The sequence below is a fragment of the Homo sapiens genome, chromosome 4 (assembly GCF_000001405.40).
Source record: "Homo sapiens chromosome 4, GRCh38.p14 Primary Assembly".
NCBI lineage: Eukaryota > Metazoa > Chordata > Mammalia > Primates > Hominidae > Homo > Homo sapiens.
The window spans coordinates 75,657,175-75,674,205 of NC_000004.12; the positions used below are offsets into that span (position 1 = coordinate 75,657,175).

A 17,031-nucleotide genomic window follows, 5' to 3' on the forward strand; every position below is an offset into this window, starting at 1 on the left:
AGGTCACTCAAAAAAACATAATAGCAAAACTCGCAATTACTTTTGCACCAACCTAGTAGAACTCAAGAAACAGCTATTTAATAGAAAAGAAACCAAAAGAACTCTTCTATTTTGTTTTCAAATGTAACCTTTCAAATATACCAATATATTTTTTGTATTAATGTAATCTTAATCATCTATTTACAAACTTGTATCAGTATTTGATTTTTAATTCCAAATAGTCAAAGCACATGTACACACACGCACTCACTCAAACAACAGGTCAAACACAAATTCCCCAAAAATAACAATATGCAAATCTAAACCTATTAGAAGAAACCTCTGGACACTTCAACCAACTAGCAACCATATAAATGAAAACTAAGTGAATTGAGAAACTTACTTCAGGAGCCAGAACAAAGGTTTGCATAAACTTTCTTTCTGGTTGTCCACTGTTAGACAGCAAACCCATGACCTGGACAACTACTCCATCACTCAAGGTTGCATGAGCATCCACATGACGAATTTTAGTATGACATTCACTGAAGTTCAGAGATAATACTTTGTGGTGTATATCCTTTATTAGGGAGGGAGGGAAAAATATAAACTCTGTGATACTGCATTACCTACACAATAATATTACCTACCCTCATTGATTTCCTTACAACTCTGCAATATTAACTAATCTTCCTGAACTGAATCCAACGACCATGCTGTGCATCACTGCCAGAATGATGTTCCTAAAGAAGAAATCACAATAGCTCTCCAATATTGTGCAGTAATCTGGGCTTTATACAGCTTTCTCCCACTTTTCTGTAGTAAGTATTTGGTCATTCTCACAAATTGTGTTGACGGCTCCTTGAACTTACACATAATTTTACTGTGTGTTTGCTGATGCTATTTTTTGTCTACTTATAATTCCTTATTTGGTAAGGCCAAATCTTGTGGTCTCACATCCTCTACACAAAGTCTTCCTTCCCTGTTAGGCCATAGGAAACATACATTTCTGTGCATTCCTATAGCATAGGGTTTAGCTCAGATTTGTATAAACTTAATACACTGTCTCAACTATCTCATGTATAAAATACATCAATGATATAAAACATACCATTTTCTCCTTTGTAGCCATCGTAATATAACACCATGTTTCATACAAAAATGATGTTTAAGAACTCAAGCATGTTTGACAATTATTGTCAAACTGAACAACTATTGACAATTTATGCTGACAATTACTGTCAAACATAAATTTCAGTTACCAATAACAATCATATTGGGGAAAAAAAAAAAAAGCCGGCCGGGCGCGGTGGCTCACGGCTGTAATCCCAGCACTTTGGGAGGCTGAGGCGGGCAGATCACCTGAGGTTGGGAGTTCGAGACCAGCCTCAACATAGAGAAACCCCGTCTCTACTAAAAATACAAAATTAGCCGGGTGTGGTGGTGCATGCCTGTAATCTCAGCTACTTGGGAGGCTGAGGCAGGAGAACTGCTTGAACCTGGGAGGCGGAGGTTGTGGTGAGCTGAGATCGCACCACTGCACTCCAGCCTGGGCAACAAGAGCAAAACTCCGTCTCAAAAAAAAAAGAGAAAGAAAGAAAGAAAAAAAAAGCCATGGACACAAGAAGGCTATTTTTTAAAATCTCCATCTTAACACAAAATTTCTAAACTACATATGAAATTGATACTTACATTTTGGCCATAAACAGCTTCCTGGGGCTTTCCACTAGCATCTACTCCACCATGAACATAGGAAGAATTCCTGCCATAAAACCTGCAAAACCATAATTAATGATTAACACTGAATTGTCAAGAGAAGCCTAAGAAGCAGAATTCTGGTGTCATAGACTAGGTTCCGGATCCCGCTCTGTCACTAATTAGTTGCGTGATCTTGGACAGGTAAGTTACTTAAGGTCTTCAAGTTCAGCTTCCTTGGTTATAAAACAGGAACAGGAACTACTCCATATGGTTGTTGTAAGGATTAAATGACTAATGCACATAGAATGCTTAGTTTATCTGGCACAGTAAGTAGACAATCATTAGATATTCACATCTATTTTTTGTTAAGTGGAAAAATCGGATATTTTTGATGATTTAGTACATTCTAAATACAGATGCTATAGTAATTGACCCTGTTTTTTTCTTCAGATACAAAGACTCAGCTACCTAGATTTGTTTGGGAATCAGAGTTTAATACTGTATCCAGATCTCCAAATGATTACTAACTCTAAAGGCTTAAACTGTTTAGATTTAAAATAACTGAAATAATTCAGAGACCAAGTCTAAAATCCAAAATTACGCCAGCATCTAATTTCTTTTTAATATTTTTGTACTGTTCTTAAGTATGTGTAAATTAGTCTTTTATTGGCATTATCCAAAGCAATTAGAATTAACATCTTTCTAAATTAAGCTCAAAGATGTGAAGCTAATTTTTTCACAATGAAAACACAACTCCTATAGTAATAAAACATGTAAGAGCTTCCTTTATGCTAAGCAATGTTTTTAGTGTATTATGTGTACTGATTCACTTAACTTTCTTAACAATCTCATGAAGTGCTATTATCTAAATAAACAAGCTGAGGTTCAGAAGAGGTTAAATTAACTCCCCTAAGGTAATATACCTATCAAGTGGGGCACCCAAGATAAGAACCTAGTCAGTCTAACTTGAGAGTCCATGCTTTTAACCACTACTCTTATCATTAAACTATTTTCTCTCATGTACTACTGGCAATGTTTTCTACAGAACAGTTTGGCTGTGTGTGTATACACATGAAAAGCCTCAGAATGATCATCTCTTTGATGCATTAATTCTTCCAGGAAAGTATCTTAAGAAAATAACTAACTAGCAACGTGCACAAATAATGCATGTTTCAGGATATTCATTAGTGTTGCTTACCACAAGTGGAAAATTATAACAACCTGAATTTTCATTAAGAAAGAAATTGGTCAAATAAGCTAGGTCTAAAACAGAAGTCAGTTACTGTTTAAACATGATGGTGTAGGGCCTTATTGTTTTAAAATTTGTTCTTGGTCACTAAAGAAAACAAAAAACCCTGTATCATGAAAAGACCAAATTTCAGATATCAAAAGGCCCTATTAATTATTTATCTTCCCCCAAACTCCCTCACATACATTGTCATAAAAAAATCTTTATTTTTACAATTAGAGAATGACATGCAGTTATTCATTTTGCATTTATTTGAGGGGAAGATACATGTTAGTTACACTTTATATATATACTACATTCTAATAGAATGGTTGGGGACACTACTCAAAACTGGGCCTGAATACTGGCTATGGTTAGCTTGTTTACTTACTGAGTGATCCTAGATGAATTACTAACCTCAACTGTCTAATAGGTAGAGAGCTAATAAAAGTAACTTCACTTTAAGACTGTCATAAGGAATACATAATATACATACGTAAAGTAATTACAAATAGAGCCAAGCAAACAGTAAATATAAAAATGCCTCAAGTAAGACAGATTACACGTATGTTCAACAGAGCAAGACAAATTGCTACTAAAATGCTAATTAAGATGACCTACAGATAAAGGAATTTAAGTCTTTTAAACAGCCTTTCTCACAGTAAGTGGCAATATATTTATCCTTAACCCATCTGGCCAGTGTGTTCTGCAATACTTACAAAGTCTAATTCTTGTAAGAGTTTCACCTATCTTCTACTTGCTAAGATACACCAAGAAGAACAAAAATTAAATACTACACATAATATAAATCAATTTCACTTCAATCTCTGGAAAAAACAAGCCTACAGATGTCCACTTCTTGTTAAAACAGTAAATAAGGTTATTGCTGCTGTTTTACAAAGGAATACTATTTTACAGATTAGAAGAAATACAAATTTTCACAGTATAATCATTTAACTGATTCATCCCCCAACACTGTTTGGGAGAACTTTAAAAAAAAGATTTAAGCTGTTGATTTCAAATTGCATATTGGAACCCATTAGTTGGTCAAACCCAAGATATGGTCTTTTGAGACGAAGCCTCACTCTGTCACCCAGGCTGGAGTGCAGTGGCACGATGCTCGCTCACTGCAGCCTCCACCTCCCAGATTCAAGCAATTCTCCTGACTCAGCCTCCTAAGTAGATACAACTACAGGCGCCTGCCACACACCCGGCTAATTTTTGTATTTTTAGCAGAGACGAGGCTTCACCATGTTGGCCAGGCTGGTCTCAAACTCCTGACCCTCAAGTGATCCACCTGCCTCAGCCTCCCAAAGCGTTGGGATTACATGAGTGAGAGAGCCACTGTGTCCAGCCTCATGTAAACCTTATATAGTTCTCCAGCACCTGCCCCCAAAGTTTGTTTTTTTTTTTTTTTAATGAAATAAAGGTCGGGCTTGGTGGCTCATGCCTGTAATCCCAGTACTTTGGGAATGCAAGCTGCAAGCTGGGAGATCGCTTGAGGCCAAAAGTTTGAGGCCACAGTGGGCTATGATCATATCACTGCACTCCACCCTGAGTGACAGAGGAGACCATGACTCTAAAAATAAAATACTAGAGTACATATAAGAATAAGCGTGTGCATATATAGATATGAATGTGTTATGTACCAGAATATGACATAAAATGTTTTTATTACTGTGAGTTGCAGTTAAAAACACTTTTTGCCATCAAATGAATAAAATATTGAATACAGTTTAGACATGTTTACAAAGATACTGTCAGATAATGAGGAGACAGGAAATGCAAAATATATATAGTCATACCCAAGAAAAAAAGTAGATAAAAATACCAAATTATTTGTTTAAAATTTACCTGTGTAAATATTCCGGAGCTTTATTCAGCAAAGTATAATATTGCCTCACAAACTCCCGCCCTACAAGCAGCGGACTGGGCTTCTCCATAACCATTTCTTTGCTGCACAATGTCAAATGCTGAGGGAGCAAACACAAGAATAACTATTAAAAAGTCATCTTTGTCATCAACCACCATGAAATAAATTTTCTTTTTAGCCAAATTTAGCAGTGGGGAGTTGTATACCAATTTTAGTGACACTAATGTTAATAAGTTCTGATAACCCACTACCATCAGACTAACCTGAAATAATTTTTTTTTTTTTTTTTTGAGACGGAGTTTCACTCTCCTTGCCCAGGCTGGAGTGCAATGGCGCAATCTCAGCTCACTGCAACCTCCGCCTCCCGGGTTCAAGCGATTCTCCTGCCTCAGCCTCCCGAGTAGCTGGGATTACAGGCATACGCCACCACACCTGGCTAATTATGTATTTTTAGTAGAGACGGGGTTTCTCCATGTTGGTCAGGCTGGCCTCGAACTCCTGACCTCAGATGATCCGCCCGCCTCGGCCTCCCAAAGTGCTGGGATTACAGGCGTGAGCCACCGTGCCCGGCCTAACCTGAAATAAATTTTCTTAGTCATACAAATGGGAACAAAATTAATGCCACTATTAAAAAGCAACTTACAACAAATAGCAAAACAATACATTCCTAACTACTACTATCCATAAGGTAACCTCCAACATTTGTGTCTCCCTTTCTCTCTCTTTCTTGATTTCCCTACCCTTCGGTAAAGGGAAATAGCATCTTTGTTCAATTTCTTATCCCCAGGAGGTCCAATGCTGCCTCAGACTACGTACAAGTCCTTCTATTCACAGTGCCTTTTTCCTTTGGGGACCAAAATCTACTACATTCCTGGATTCCAGTGGTTTTATCCTAGGAAGCAAGACAGAGGGCCCAAGTTAAGACTCAGAGATAACACTCATGGCAAAGCACCATGACTTGTGTTTTTGTATTCTCTTTCCTTCTGGGAATTAATTTCACCATTTTCAAAATGGTAACAATGATTAATCACCAGCTATAACTTCAGTACTTAGAGAGAATCATTTTTTACCTTTGATATTATGTCTCTCTTTCTTTCCACTAATTAAGCATCTAACTACATGAGATACTGTTTATAATAAATGAAATACTCTAGTGAACAAGATAAGTCTCTAGCCCTCAAGGAGTTTATAGTCTGTCAAGAAATATAAACAAGCAAACTGGAAACTTAACAGAATGGGTTAGGTGCTATGATAATGTGCCTCAAAGTTAAAACCAACAAGAACAACTAACATGAAATAAATACAATTTCCTATTTTTGTCTTCTGAGACAGGGTCTCGCTCTGTCACCTAGGCTGGAGTTTAGTGGTGCAATCATGGCTCACTGCAGCCTCAACTGCCAGGCTCAGGCTCAGGCTCAAGCGATCCTCCCCGCTAAATCTCCTGAGTGGCTGGGACTATAAGCATGCACCTGGCTAATTTTTTTAAATTTTTTAATTTTTATTTTTAGCAGAGACGAGGTCTGGCTACAATGCCCTGACTGGTCTCGAACTCCTGGCCTCAAGTGATCCTCTCACTTCAGGTGTGAGCCACAAACAAAACTTATCATTTACTGTAGGAATATAATCCCCAGGGCCAGGTACGGTGGCTCACACCTGTAATCCCAGCACTTTGGGAGGCAAGGCGGGTGGATCACAAGGGCAGGAGTTCAAGACCAGCCTGGCCAAGATGGTGAAACCCCATCTCTACTAAAAATAAAAAAATTAGCCAGGTGTGGTGGTGGGTGCCTGTAATCCCAGCCACTCCGGAGGCTGAGGCAGAGAATTGCTTGAACCCGGGAGGCGGAGGTTGCAGTGAACCAAGATCGCGCCAGTGCACTCCAGCCTGGGCGACAGAGCGAGACTCGTCTCAAAAAAATAAAAAATAAAAATATGAAATATAACCTATTTTATTTTTGAGATGGAGTCTTGCTCTGTTGCCCAGGCTGGAGTCCAGTGGTACGATCTTGGCTCACTGCAACCTCTGCCTCCCGGCAGAGCAATTCTCTTGCCTCAGCCTCCCGAGTAGCTGGGACTACAGGCACGTGTCACCACACCTGGCTAATTTTTGTATTATTAGTAGAGACGGGGTTTCACCATGTTAGCCAGACTGGTCTTGAACTCCTGACCTCGTGATCCACCTGCCTCAGCCTCCCAAAGTGCTGGGATTACAGGCGTGAGCCACCGTGCCCAGCCACCTGTTTTATTTTAAAAAGACCTATTAAACTTAAAAGTACTAAAAAAAAAAAATCATAATTCCTAAGCATGTATCTACTGGGTAAATCAGGATGCAGTTGAAATTCCTGCTTAGCCAGGTGCGGTGGCTGACGCCTGTAATCCCAGCACTTCAGGAGGCCAAGGTGGGCAGATCGCCTGAGGTCAGGAGTTCGAGACCAGCCTGGCCAAAATGGTAAAACCCCTTCTCTAGTAAAATACAAAAATTTGCCAGGCGTGGTGGCTGGCGCCTGTAGTCCCAGCTACTTGGGAAGCTGAGGCAGGAGAATCGCTTGATCCCAGGAGGCAGAGTTTGTAGTGGGCCAAGATCATGCCTCTGCACTGCAGCCTGGGCAACAACAGAGTGAGGCTCCATCTCAATAAATAAATAAAGTCCTGCTTAAACTTCAGGTTGAGCTGGGAGGATCATTTGAGATCAGGAGTTCGAGACCAGCCTGACCAAGATGGTGAAACCCCATCTCTACTAAAAATACAAATAATTAGCAGAGCTGATGGCACACACCTGTAATCTCAGCTACTCAGGAGACTGAGGCACAAAAAATCACTTTAACCTGGGGGACAAAGGTTGCAGTGAGCCGCGATCACACCACTGCACTCCAGCCTGGGCAACTGAGTAAGACTCTGTCTCAAAACAAACAGACAAAAAAACACTGCAGGCTGGCACAGTGGATCATGCCTGTAATCCCAGCACTTTGGGAGGTGGAGGTGGCAGGAAAGCTTGAGGCCAGGAGTTCAAGACCAGCCTGGCCAACAGAGAGACCCCATCTCTATACAAAAAATTAAAAATAAAAAGTCAATTTCCATGTGTGTTTACTTTAAATAACTAAAACAATTTCAGAGACAGCCCTGCATAGGTCATTAAAATTGTGATGCTGTTTTTAATAAAAATCAAATACCAACTATAGTAGAGCTTACAGATAGAGTGTAGCTTTACATAATTCTAGTGACTCACAATTCAACTTCTACATTATGTTTTTAGGTTCCTTGTTTCTTCCTTTCCAACAAACTATCCCTCCTCTAACTGTCCTTCTTAAACTCTCAAACTTGATTTACAAAAATCCCCAAATCTGTTTAAAATTTTTTATAATGCCTCACTTGCTTTCAAAAATAGTTAATTCACAAAGAGCAGATCCAAATACTGCCATTTCAGGTGTCATTGATTTTCCAGAAAACTTAAAACTCCCAATAAGGGTAACAACCCTAGTGCAAAAAGGACTCACATATGCTACATTTAAAGTAACAAAGCACTGGGCTGTGGCTCACGCCTGTAATCCCAGCACTTTGGGACGTCGAAGTGGGCAGACTGCTTGAGCTTAGGAGCTGAAGACCAGCCTGGGCAACAAGGCAAAACCCCATCTAAAATTAGCCAGACATGGTGGTGCACACCTGTAGTCACAAACACACAAACACACACACACACACAAACACACAAACAAACACACACACACACACACACACACACACAGCTAAGCAACTAACATTTTTATTTTGAATAATGAGGGTGGGTAAAGAACAGTAGACTTACCTGGTAAAATTTAACAAGATAACTAAAACATGGAAATTATATGTATTTTAACACCATAAAAACTGATGGTAAAATAATACTAACACATGGGAAAATACTACATTACTCTCTGAACAAAATAACTATACACAAAATAGTTTTCTTTAAATTGATAGTGACAGAAATACTATTAGGAATTTCCGGGTTTGGGAATTGTTTTCTTCTCTCTGGATTTCCAGATTTTCTACAGGAACACTGTTGTCATTTATCCCAAATTTCCCATCATATTCATAGAGTACATACTGATCTATCATTTTTGTCACTTACATATTTGTTTCTCAAACCAAAATAAAATGGTACATAATACATATATAATATCACAGGTCAAAATGCTCTAAAGATTTGTTGTAACAAGGTTCAAAAAAAGCTTCAAATTGCCCACTATCTACATGGTCACTGAAGTATAATGGCCAACATACCATCAATTTAGAACAGAGAGACAGGGAAGGGCAGTAGAAGTAATATTTGATTAATCAATACTCAATAAATTAATACTTAGAACTATTGGAAGGCAGTAACTTGAAAAGTTAACTTCAAATGGTAAATAAGTAAGGCAATGCTAATCTGGTAAAATCTAAACAGGCATATAACAGGTTATATAGAAAGCTGAGCTTTTAAGGTGCAGAGGAGGCTCCCAAAGGAATGGTAAAACAAAATCAAGATTTACTGAGAGAACAGTGTTTCAACTAATTACATCAGTTACTTCTTTAACCATAACTCCGATTTGAAGTGACTCAGAATTTAGAGAGCCAAAATATAATTGATAGAAATCAACCAGAAAATGACTACTAGAGATCAACCATCAAACAACGTGGTTTGGGTATTGCAGGAAATAAGACTATGAAAATTGAGTAAGTAATATAAAGTTCGTATTTATAATTCATGCAGTGTACGTAAGAAGGTTGAGAAAAAGGAAAAAAGCCAAATTACACTTTCAGAATAAAAGTGATTACAAGAAGAAAGAATTGTGCCATTTTTATTATTCATAGCAAATCATCTTACAGGTAATCCATTTCTAGATCTGGGACCTTCCATTTCTTAAAAAAAGTTAACAAAACGAAACAAAATTCTGAATATGGGAGTAAAAGGTTTCAACTATCTTATCCATGGCCATGAAAAACTCATGACCTTACTGGATCTCGATTTCCTAGTTTACAAATTGAGAAGAAATCCCCGGTCAAGCCTACAAGACTATACAGTTCTACAAAGATAGCCAAGAAGGCCTGGTGCAGTGGCTCACACCTGTAATCCCAATATTTTGGGAGGCCAAAGTGGGTGAATCGCTTGAGCTCAGGTGTTTGAGACCAGCCCAGGCAACATGGCAAAACCCCGTCTCTACTAAAAAATACAAAAAATTAGCGGGGCGTGGTAGTGTGCAAGCGTAGCTCCAGCTACTCGGGAAGCTGAGGTGGGAGGAATGCCTGAGCCCGGGAAGTCAAGGCTGCAGCGAGCCAAGATGGCACCACCGCACTCAAACCTGGGTAACAGGAGTGAGACACTGTTTAAAAAAAAAAAAAAAAAGATAGCCAAGATTAAAGGATACTTATACACAAAAAGAAATCTTTAGAAAGTTCTTAGATTAGCACCTTCAAAGATAACTACCATCTTCAATAAGGTGGTTGTTAGCCTCACCTAACAACCTTTTTAGAAAAAGTTAAATACAATATATCACACTCCACTTCTTCCAATGACACCTGAAAATGTGAAGAATCTCACACAGGAATGCACAGTGTAAAATTTTATCTGATACATTAGCTCTATACACAGTCAAAGCTCTCTCATGAACAAATCCGTCTTTTACTTGTCAAATGAAAACATTATCCAAGGCCAGGCGCAGTGGCTCATGCCTACTTCCCAGCACTTTGGGAGGCAATGGCAGGAGGATCACAAGGTCAGGAGATCGAGACCATCCTGGCTAACACAGTGAAAGCCCGTCTCTACTAAAAATACAAAAAATTAGCCAGGCCTGGTGGTACGCGCCTATAGTCCCAGCTACTCAGGAGGCTAAGGCAGCAGAATTGCTTGAACTCAGAGGCAAAGGTTGCAGTAAGCTGAGATCACACCCTTGCACTTCAGCCTGGGCAACAAGAGCGAAACTCTGTCTCAAAAAACAAAAAACCGAAAACATTATCCAGTATAGTTTAGAGGCTTTTTACTCTCCAACTCTGCCTATCGCACCTAAAATCCCAGTGAATCTTCATCAGAATATTTTATTCATTCCTGTTTCTTAAAATGTTTCCTCTGCATTTGCCTAATTCCTGAAGCACATGCACTTCAGCTCTCACGGAAAATTGCTCTATATTTGTCACCATATTTTCTGAATCTATTAATTATACACATTGAGAGAGAGTGGAGTATTGGTAGATAATACACACTGAGAGGGAGTGGAGCATTGGTAGACATACATGCAGATTAGAAAAGAAAGTCACATTGAGCTTCATTATCCTACAATGAACTTATATTTCCTCAGTTTCAAAATAACGTAAAAACCAAAGTTATCACTCTCCTTTCCTCAAACTTTGACTAAAACGTCACCTTTTAGGTAAGAAACATTTAGGTTTTTTGTTTACCATTTAAAGTTCAGTGAATCACTACTATAATGGGGCTGCCTCCAAAACAATCAATCTTAGGCTACATTAATTTAGATGTAATATCTAAAATGAGTTGATTGCTAATTGAATATAGTGAATGGAAATTATAAGAAGGTAGATTTGGGTGAAACATAACACAAGAATAACGCGAGTTGTCCAAATATCAAATAGAGCTACTTAACAAGTAGCCAGTCACTACAGGTATTCCAGAGACTAACTGAATGGTTTGGCACAAACATAGTAGAGTCCATACATCCAAAAAAGTAAGATTAGGCCATTCCAACACTAAGATCCTAAAAGTCTGTTAACAAGAAGCAGGACTTTTGACTTCTCCTCCAATACTCATCTCACACCTTCCTATCTGCAATGATTGAAACCCTATGCATTTATCTGGGCCCAGCAGAAATCCTGTCCCCTTGAAAATCTTTCTACTCCTACTGAATTCCTCAACAGAATATAACTCTTCTCTATTAACTCTTAAAGCACTTTTGGCCTTTATCATAGCAGTTTATTGATCATGCTCTGCCCTAAATTACTAACTGTACACCTGTCTTCATCTTCTATTCCCCTCTCAAATATTATAACTCAGCTCTCCTTTGAATGCAATTCTCTGGAAACATCACAATTCTTCTCAATAATCGAATGACTTCTCAATCCTCCACCCATCTGCATTATCAATGTTGACTACCTCCTCCTAACTCTTCTAGAGTTCTATAAGGCAAATTTTCCTTCTCATCCAAACGCAGAATTTCTCAAGGTTCTGTCTTCTAACCTGGCAATTTCAGCTTCTGGTCTCATGTCTACCTAAACGTGTATCTAGTCTATACCATAAGTTCAAATTTTACATTTGTCACCACATACTGAACACCTAGACATGACCCACATATGTCCCAATACACGCATGCACCAAAGAAAGCTATTTCCTTATTTCTGTTAAAAGTGTCATAATCTTCTCAACTTGAAAGCTCAGTCGTGACTTTCTCCCCTTTAGCTTTGCCACTTAAACTGTGAAATCCTTACAATTCAGAAGGTGGAATTTGTGCCCTCCTTTTCACTCCCACTGTTCAGACCTTTTATTCTTCAAAAGTCTTTCAAGCCCCTGTATCACGTGTAGTATATACTGTACTGAGTAAAATCCAAACACCTGCATTCAGTTTGGCATCTAAGGCCCTACACAGAAATCCAGTCTGACATTCAATGTCATAACCAACCTTTCAAATTTATCTCCTACTATACTTTCTCATCCCTGTATCAAATTCTATACAAATATTTTAATCACCTAATATTATTCTCTGCAATTTCACTCTCTGCGCCTTTGTCTTACTTCATTCATTCCCATCCACAAGCTGAGTCAATGGGTTATACAAAATAAATTCATTTCAACATTTATTTTATGGCTACTATGTATGTACCAGAAACTACAAAAGGAAAAAGAGGCCGGGTGCAGTGGCTCACGCCTGTAATTCTAGCACTTCGGGAGGCCGAGATGGGTGGATCACCTGAGGTCAGGAGTTCGAGACCAGCCTGACCAACATGGCAAAACCCATCTCTACTAAAAACACAAAAAAGTTAGCCGTGTGCAGTGGCGGGCGCCTGTAATCCCAGCTACTCAGGAGGCTGAAGCAGGAGAATCGCTTGAACCCGGGGGCGGAGGTTGCAGTGAGCTGAGTTGTAAGTACTTGGTATTAGTTATTATAAAAAGAATAAGACCTCTAGTAATAGGAGGCAGTTCTCTTTACCAGATACTGTTACCAAAGGTTATGTGGGTGCTAAGACACAGCTTATCTCCACTATAGGATACTTACCCCTTTCCCCTCTGGAGTCCCTCACTCATAGCTGGGCTCAAACTAGTCAGGTTTATTTATTTTAATTGAACCATGGACTATATCCATTTCCAACAGCTAAATGCATATTAATACTGGAACTTTCTGAAATTCCAGATGGTTTTTGTTTGAAGTAACTTAAACAATCTAAGGAACACTATACCTTTTTAAAGAAATGACCTTCAATCTTTTGTGGTACACCATTGAATGAAAGCTTCACAAAGAAGATCTAAGAATCATAGTGGTACAAATAAATAATAAAAGTAAGTTATGGATTAAATCTCTTATTCAGGCTCCAAAAGGTGTTTTTGTTTTCTGTCCTTCTCAGAAGTTGAGGGAGGCTAGTTTTAAAATTCAGAAGCTATTAAAAGTGACCAAGCAGTAAGAAATGGAAATGCTTGCTGTCCACAAAAATAAAGCATGTATTTATACTATGTTTTAAAGTTTAACAAGTAACCTACTATTTTCTTTTGTCTTTAAAATAGATAGGGCATTATCTTCATTTACAGAAAAGGATGTTTAGAGAGCCTAAGGAAAGGTGTTTGGGGTTCCTCAGTTACAGTAAAAAGAAAGAGGATTTGAAATCAGGTCTCCTGACTCCTGACTCAACTGATGTTTTCATTACACTTTGGTTAGGAACAACCGCTTTGGAAGAGCAGCCAGCTCTTCCAACAATACAAAAAATTAATTTTAAACAAGCAATTGTTAGCTTATGTGAAACTGTTGAGAAGAGTGAAAAGCAAAGGAATACAGCAGGACAGCAACAGAAAATCCAAGAATAATTTTCAATATACCTATGGTTTCAAGATAGGGTAAAATACTTGGAAATTAGCAGATAAAAGTAAGCAGAAACACGACAGTCAAGAAACTAATTCTATTGCTTCTGAAGGTAGGCCAGGACCTTCCTGAAGGTGGGTGGACCAATTTATTCTATCGGATATAAAACAAGTGTCTACCAGTGGAGAGTAACTAGGTCATGTTTGTCCATTAAATTCTACTGAATTTAAGTTCAGACGCAACACTTTAGTTTGTGCCTTTCAAAATCAACATTGAAAAGGAGTCATTCACTGTCTCCATATTCACTCAAAATATGTGGAAAGTCTTTTTAAAGCAATCTAGGGGGAAAATGTTCAATCCTAATTATGCGTAATAAACAGCGATAATTTTGCAGGATAAGGAGGGAAGTTTTCAGAATCTAAAGACACAGTGCCAACACTTTCTTCAAACCAGGAGTTGCCTGCTGACAAATCAACTGCTCAGCTGCTAACTGAACAGTTAAGTTAGTTACTCTACGAAATGGTCAAATAATGTGTTTTCTTCTTTACCTTCTAATTTTTATCCCCATCCATCCCACAAGCATTCTGGTTCACTCTTGATGTTTTTTCACTATTACTAATATTTCGACCCTGAATATCAATCTGAACTATGACAGCTCTTAGTAAGAAATTCATTCTAGGTCCTTATTATTCCTACAATTCCTTGACTGCTTTTCAGAATTAGTTTGTAAAGATTAAATCATAACATAAAGGCCCATAAGAGTAATCTTAAACATTTAAGAAAAATGTTACTGCCAAAGAAAGGATAATTCAATCCTGAGGTTCAAACTCATCGTACCGTTTATCTCCTAAGACCAGGAATCTTGGATTATCAAAAAGACCACTGGATGCTAACAGGGCCAAAAGTTTACTTAGAAACTTGGTTCACATGCCTAAGGCTATATTAACTGCCAAATATGGAGCTAGAGAAAAATTGCCATCATCTCCCACTCTAGTACACCGGGGCTCTCTTAACGACAGTTAATGTTTCCTAGATCCAGGTACCTGCAACACTAACGTTTGAAAGACCAGAACAAGGTACAGAGCCTTGAACCTAAAACCACAGTATCTTAATCCAAGTTAATATCCCACAACAATCATACAGGGAGAACAGGACTTTACTATTCCAGCTAAAAGTGCAAGTGCCTTTTTTTTGTTGTTGTTATGAAGGAAAAGGCACTCTCCTCCCACCCCCCAAATCCGTTAGAACATTAAGTATGTCTTGGGGAAAAAAGCTGATCTATGCAGGAAATTATAGACGAAAATCTATATTCGCCCCAAAGCGGCAAAGGGCCATCTTAAGAAATCTGCTTTTAGAGACGCAGGAAAAATTCTATCAGATTCCACTAACAAAATCAACACAATCTAGGGAAGCTTCTGTTCCTTTCTGTCCCCCCATCCCAACAAAAGCGGGAACCCATCCCCCAAAAGCCATTCCCGAGTCAATAAGGGATCGTCTGCATAAGAGGGGGACGAAGAAGGCGCACGTTACAGTTCCAGTATCCGAACACGTTCGGATTAAACCCGCGGTGGCAGGGAGAGGGGGGTTGGTCAAACACGACGGAACACTAGGTACTGGGTAAGCGAAGCGGCGGCTGCCTTCAAACCCGGATTCTGTTTCCGTGCACAGAAATGGTGCCCGGAGGCCGCCACTTTCGCATCTGCGTCGCTTCTGCCTCCGTCGACACAACCTCTTTTCCCCTCCCCCCACGGGCGGGGTGGCGACGGCCTCTCCGCTCCGAAGGAACAAGGTACAAGAGCCGAAAACGATTCGGAAACAGGAACGGTGGGCTACCCACCCTAAAACATCCCCTCCAGAAAGCCTGCTCCCACACTTCCTGTATTAAGCTTCCATCAGCGCGCCTTCGGGAGCTGCTGCGTGCCTCCCCCCCCACTTCGCCACCTCATCCCCAATAAACCTCAACCCCACCTGTGCACTCGGAGCCCTCTGCCCGCAAGACGCTCGCGGGTCACCTCCCTTCCCAGGCGGCCTCCCACCCCTCACCTAGAGGAAAGACTGGTCTTCTCTCACGCACACACGGCACCGTAGGGAGCCGGCAAGAACAATGTCTCTGCCGCTACACCTCCGGCTCCCGGGCTCACACACCGGACGATTGCCTCGCGCCGCGGAGCGCGAATGGAATGTCCCTTTCCGACCACCACACCGACCTCCCCTCCCGGCGCCCGTACACACCTCCAGCCAACGGCGGCGGCGGGTACGTCGCGCGGAGGTCAGAAGAGTCGCTGAGGACCGGGTGCGGCGGGTTCTTATTGCTCGCCGCCCCCTTCCTCCGACAACTCGGAAGCCTCGGAAGCCGGAGAGCCGCGAGTTCGTCTGCCTCACAACCACCTCTTCCCGGGCGCCAGGCGCTGCGACGTGCGACAAGGACCACGGACGTCCCGCCCCCTTTGCCACCGCCCCCTCTTATTGTTTTACCCCTGCCGAAAGGGCCAGGGAACCCCCGAGCACAGCGTCAGCCAATCACGCATCTCCTCCAGAGCCGGACCCAACCTTCCCGTGTCCCTCTGCGGAGCACGCGCAGTACGCTGCCGCGCTCGCACACGCTCGCGCCCGGAAAGCCGGGGAACCGGAACCGGCCTAAAGCCAAGATAAGAGTCCGCTGATTTGACGTCACAAGCAGGCTGCCTTTCTCCGGTCCCGAGGCTCCAGCCTTGCCGCCCTTCTTCCTGATCGCGCAAGCGAGAGCTGGTTCGCAGCAACGCAGTGTCTTTTGTAGACTGATATTCTGGTCCTTTTTATTAATGGGAAGGAGGGAATTTAGTAATCTCTCTGAATAGGTGTCTGCAGGTTGCTGCTGTAGACGAGCTTAAAATGCAGCCGGTGATTTCAGCTGTTTGCACACTAAACTCACCTACATTGTTTACTTAACCCATCCTAGGTTTTAAGCCCCATTAAGAGGCCCTGCAGTAAAGGAAGAACATGACGTGGGCTTTACAGAGGGGGAAAAGACTATTTCTTTGTGTCCTTGTTACGAATTTAGGCATGGCTAAATATCAGTAGATACTAAAGCATTTTACATACTAAAGCTAAAAGAAGGCCTGAAATACAAGGATTACAGTCCTGTTCTAGCTCTAAGCCCAGACTTGCCCCCAGGGTGAGACACTGGTGACCTTGTTTCATGGACAAAGCCAAGCCAAATCTTGTAGTCAAGGAAGCCACTTTGCATCTTA

The 17,031-nt window shown here is 40.5% G+C and overlaps 1 protein-coding gene across 26 annotated transcripts in view, besides 3 other annotated features; it reads right to left on the bottom strand.

Annotated features, from left to right (window-relative positions):
• G3BP2 (G3BP stress granule assembly factor 2) overlaps positions 1 to 17,031 on the bottom strand; it is an 81,652-nt gene that overhangs the window by 14,389 nt on the left and 50,232 nt on the right. For 10 of the 26 annotated variants that reach the window (NM_001400017.1, NM_001400004.1, NM_001400014.1 and 7 more), the window contains 3 exons: positions 4,757 to 4,875; positions 1,669 to 1,750; positions 383 to 556 (listed from right to left, as the gene is read on the bottom strand). In NM_001400017.1, coding sequence (NP_001386946.1) covers positions 383 to 556; positions 1,669 to 1,750; positions 4,757 to 4,851 — 351 coding nt within the window. In that variant the 5' untranslated portion in view covers positions 4,852 to 4,875. Of the gene's footprint in view, positions 1 to 382; positions 557 to 1,668; positions 1,751 to 4,756; positions 4,900 to 15,331; positions 15,528 to 15,638; positions 15,721 to 15,844; positions 15,984 to 16,033; positions 16,238 to 16,276; positions 16,422 to 17,031 lie in introns of those variants that run through there. The other 16 variants (NM_001400018.1, NM_001400008.1, NM_203504.3 and 13 more) reach the window with 10 other exon arrangements.
• Positions 15,117 to 16,094: an enhancer, noted in NCBI's record as "NANOG-H3K27ac-H3K4me1 hESC enhancer chr4:76597475-76598452 (GRCh37/hg19 assembly coordinates)". NCBI's record gives its function as "activates a minimal SCP1, AML or CMV promoter by ChIP-STARR-seq in naive and primed H9 embryonic stem cells {active_cell/tissue: H9 hESC(naive and primed)}" and the evidence as "EXISTENCE:reporter gene assay evidence [ECO:0000049][PMID:30033119]".
• Positions 15,527 to 15,766: an enhancer, noted in NCBI's record as "active region_21619". NCBI's record gives its function as "activates an Ori minimal core promoter by ATAC-STARR-seq in GM12878 lymphoblastoid cells {active_cell/tissue: GM12878}" and the evidence as "EXISTENCE:reporter gene assay evidence [ECO:0000049][PMID:35858748]".
• Positions 16,047 to 16,336: an enhancer, noted in NCBI's record as "active region_21620". NCBI's record gives its function as "activates an Ori minimal core promoter by ATAC-STARR-seq in GM12878 lymphoblastoid cells {active_cell/tissue: GM12878}" and the evidence as "EXISTENCE:reporter gene assay evidence [ECO:0000049][PMID:35858748]".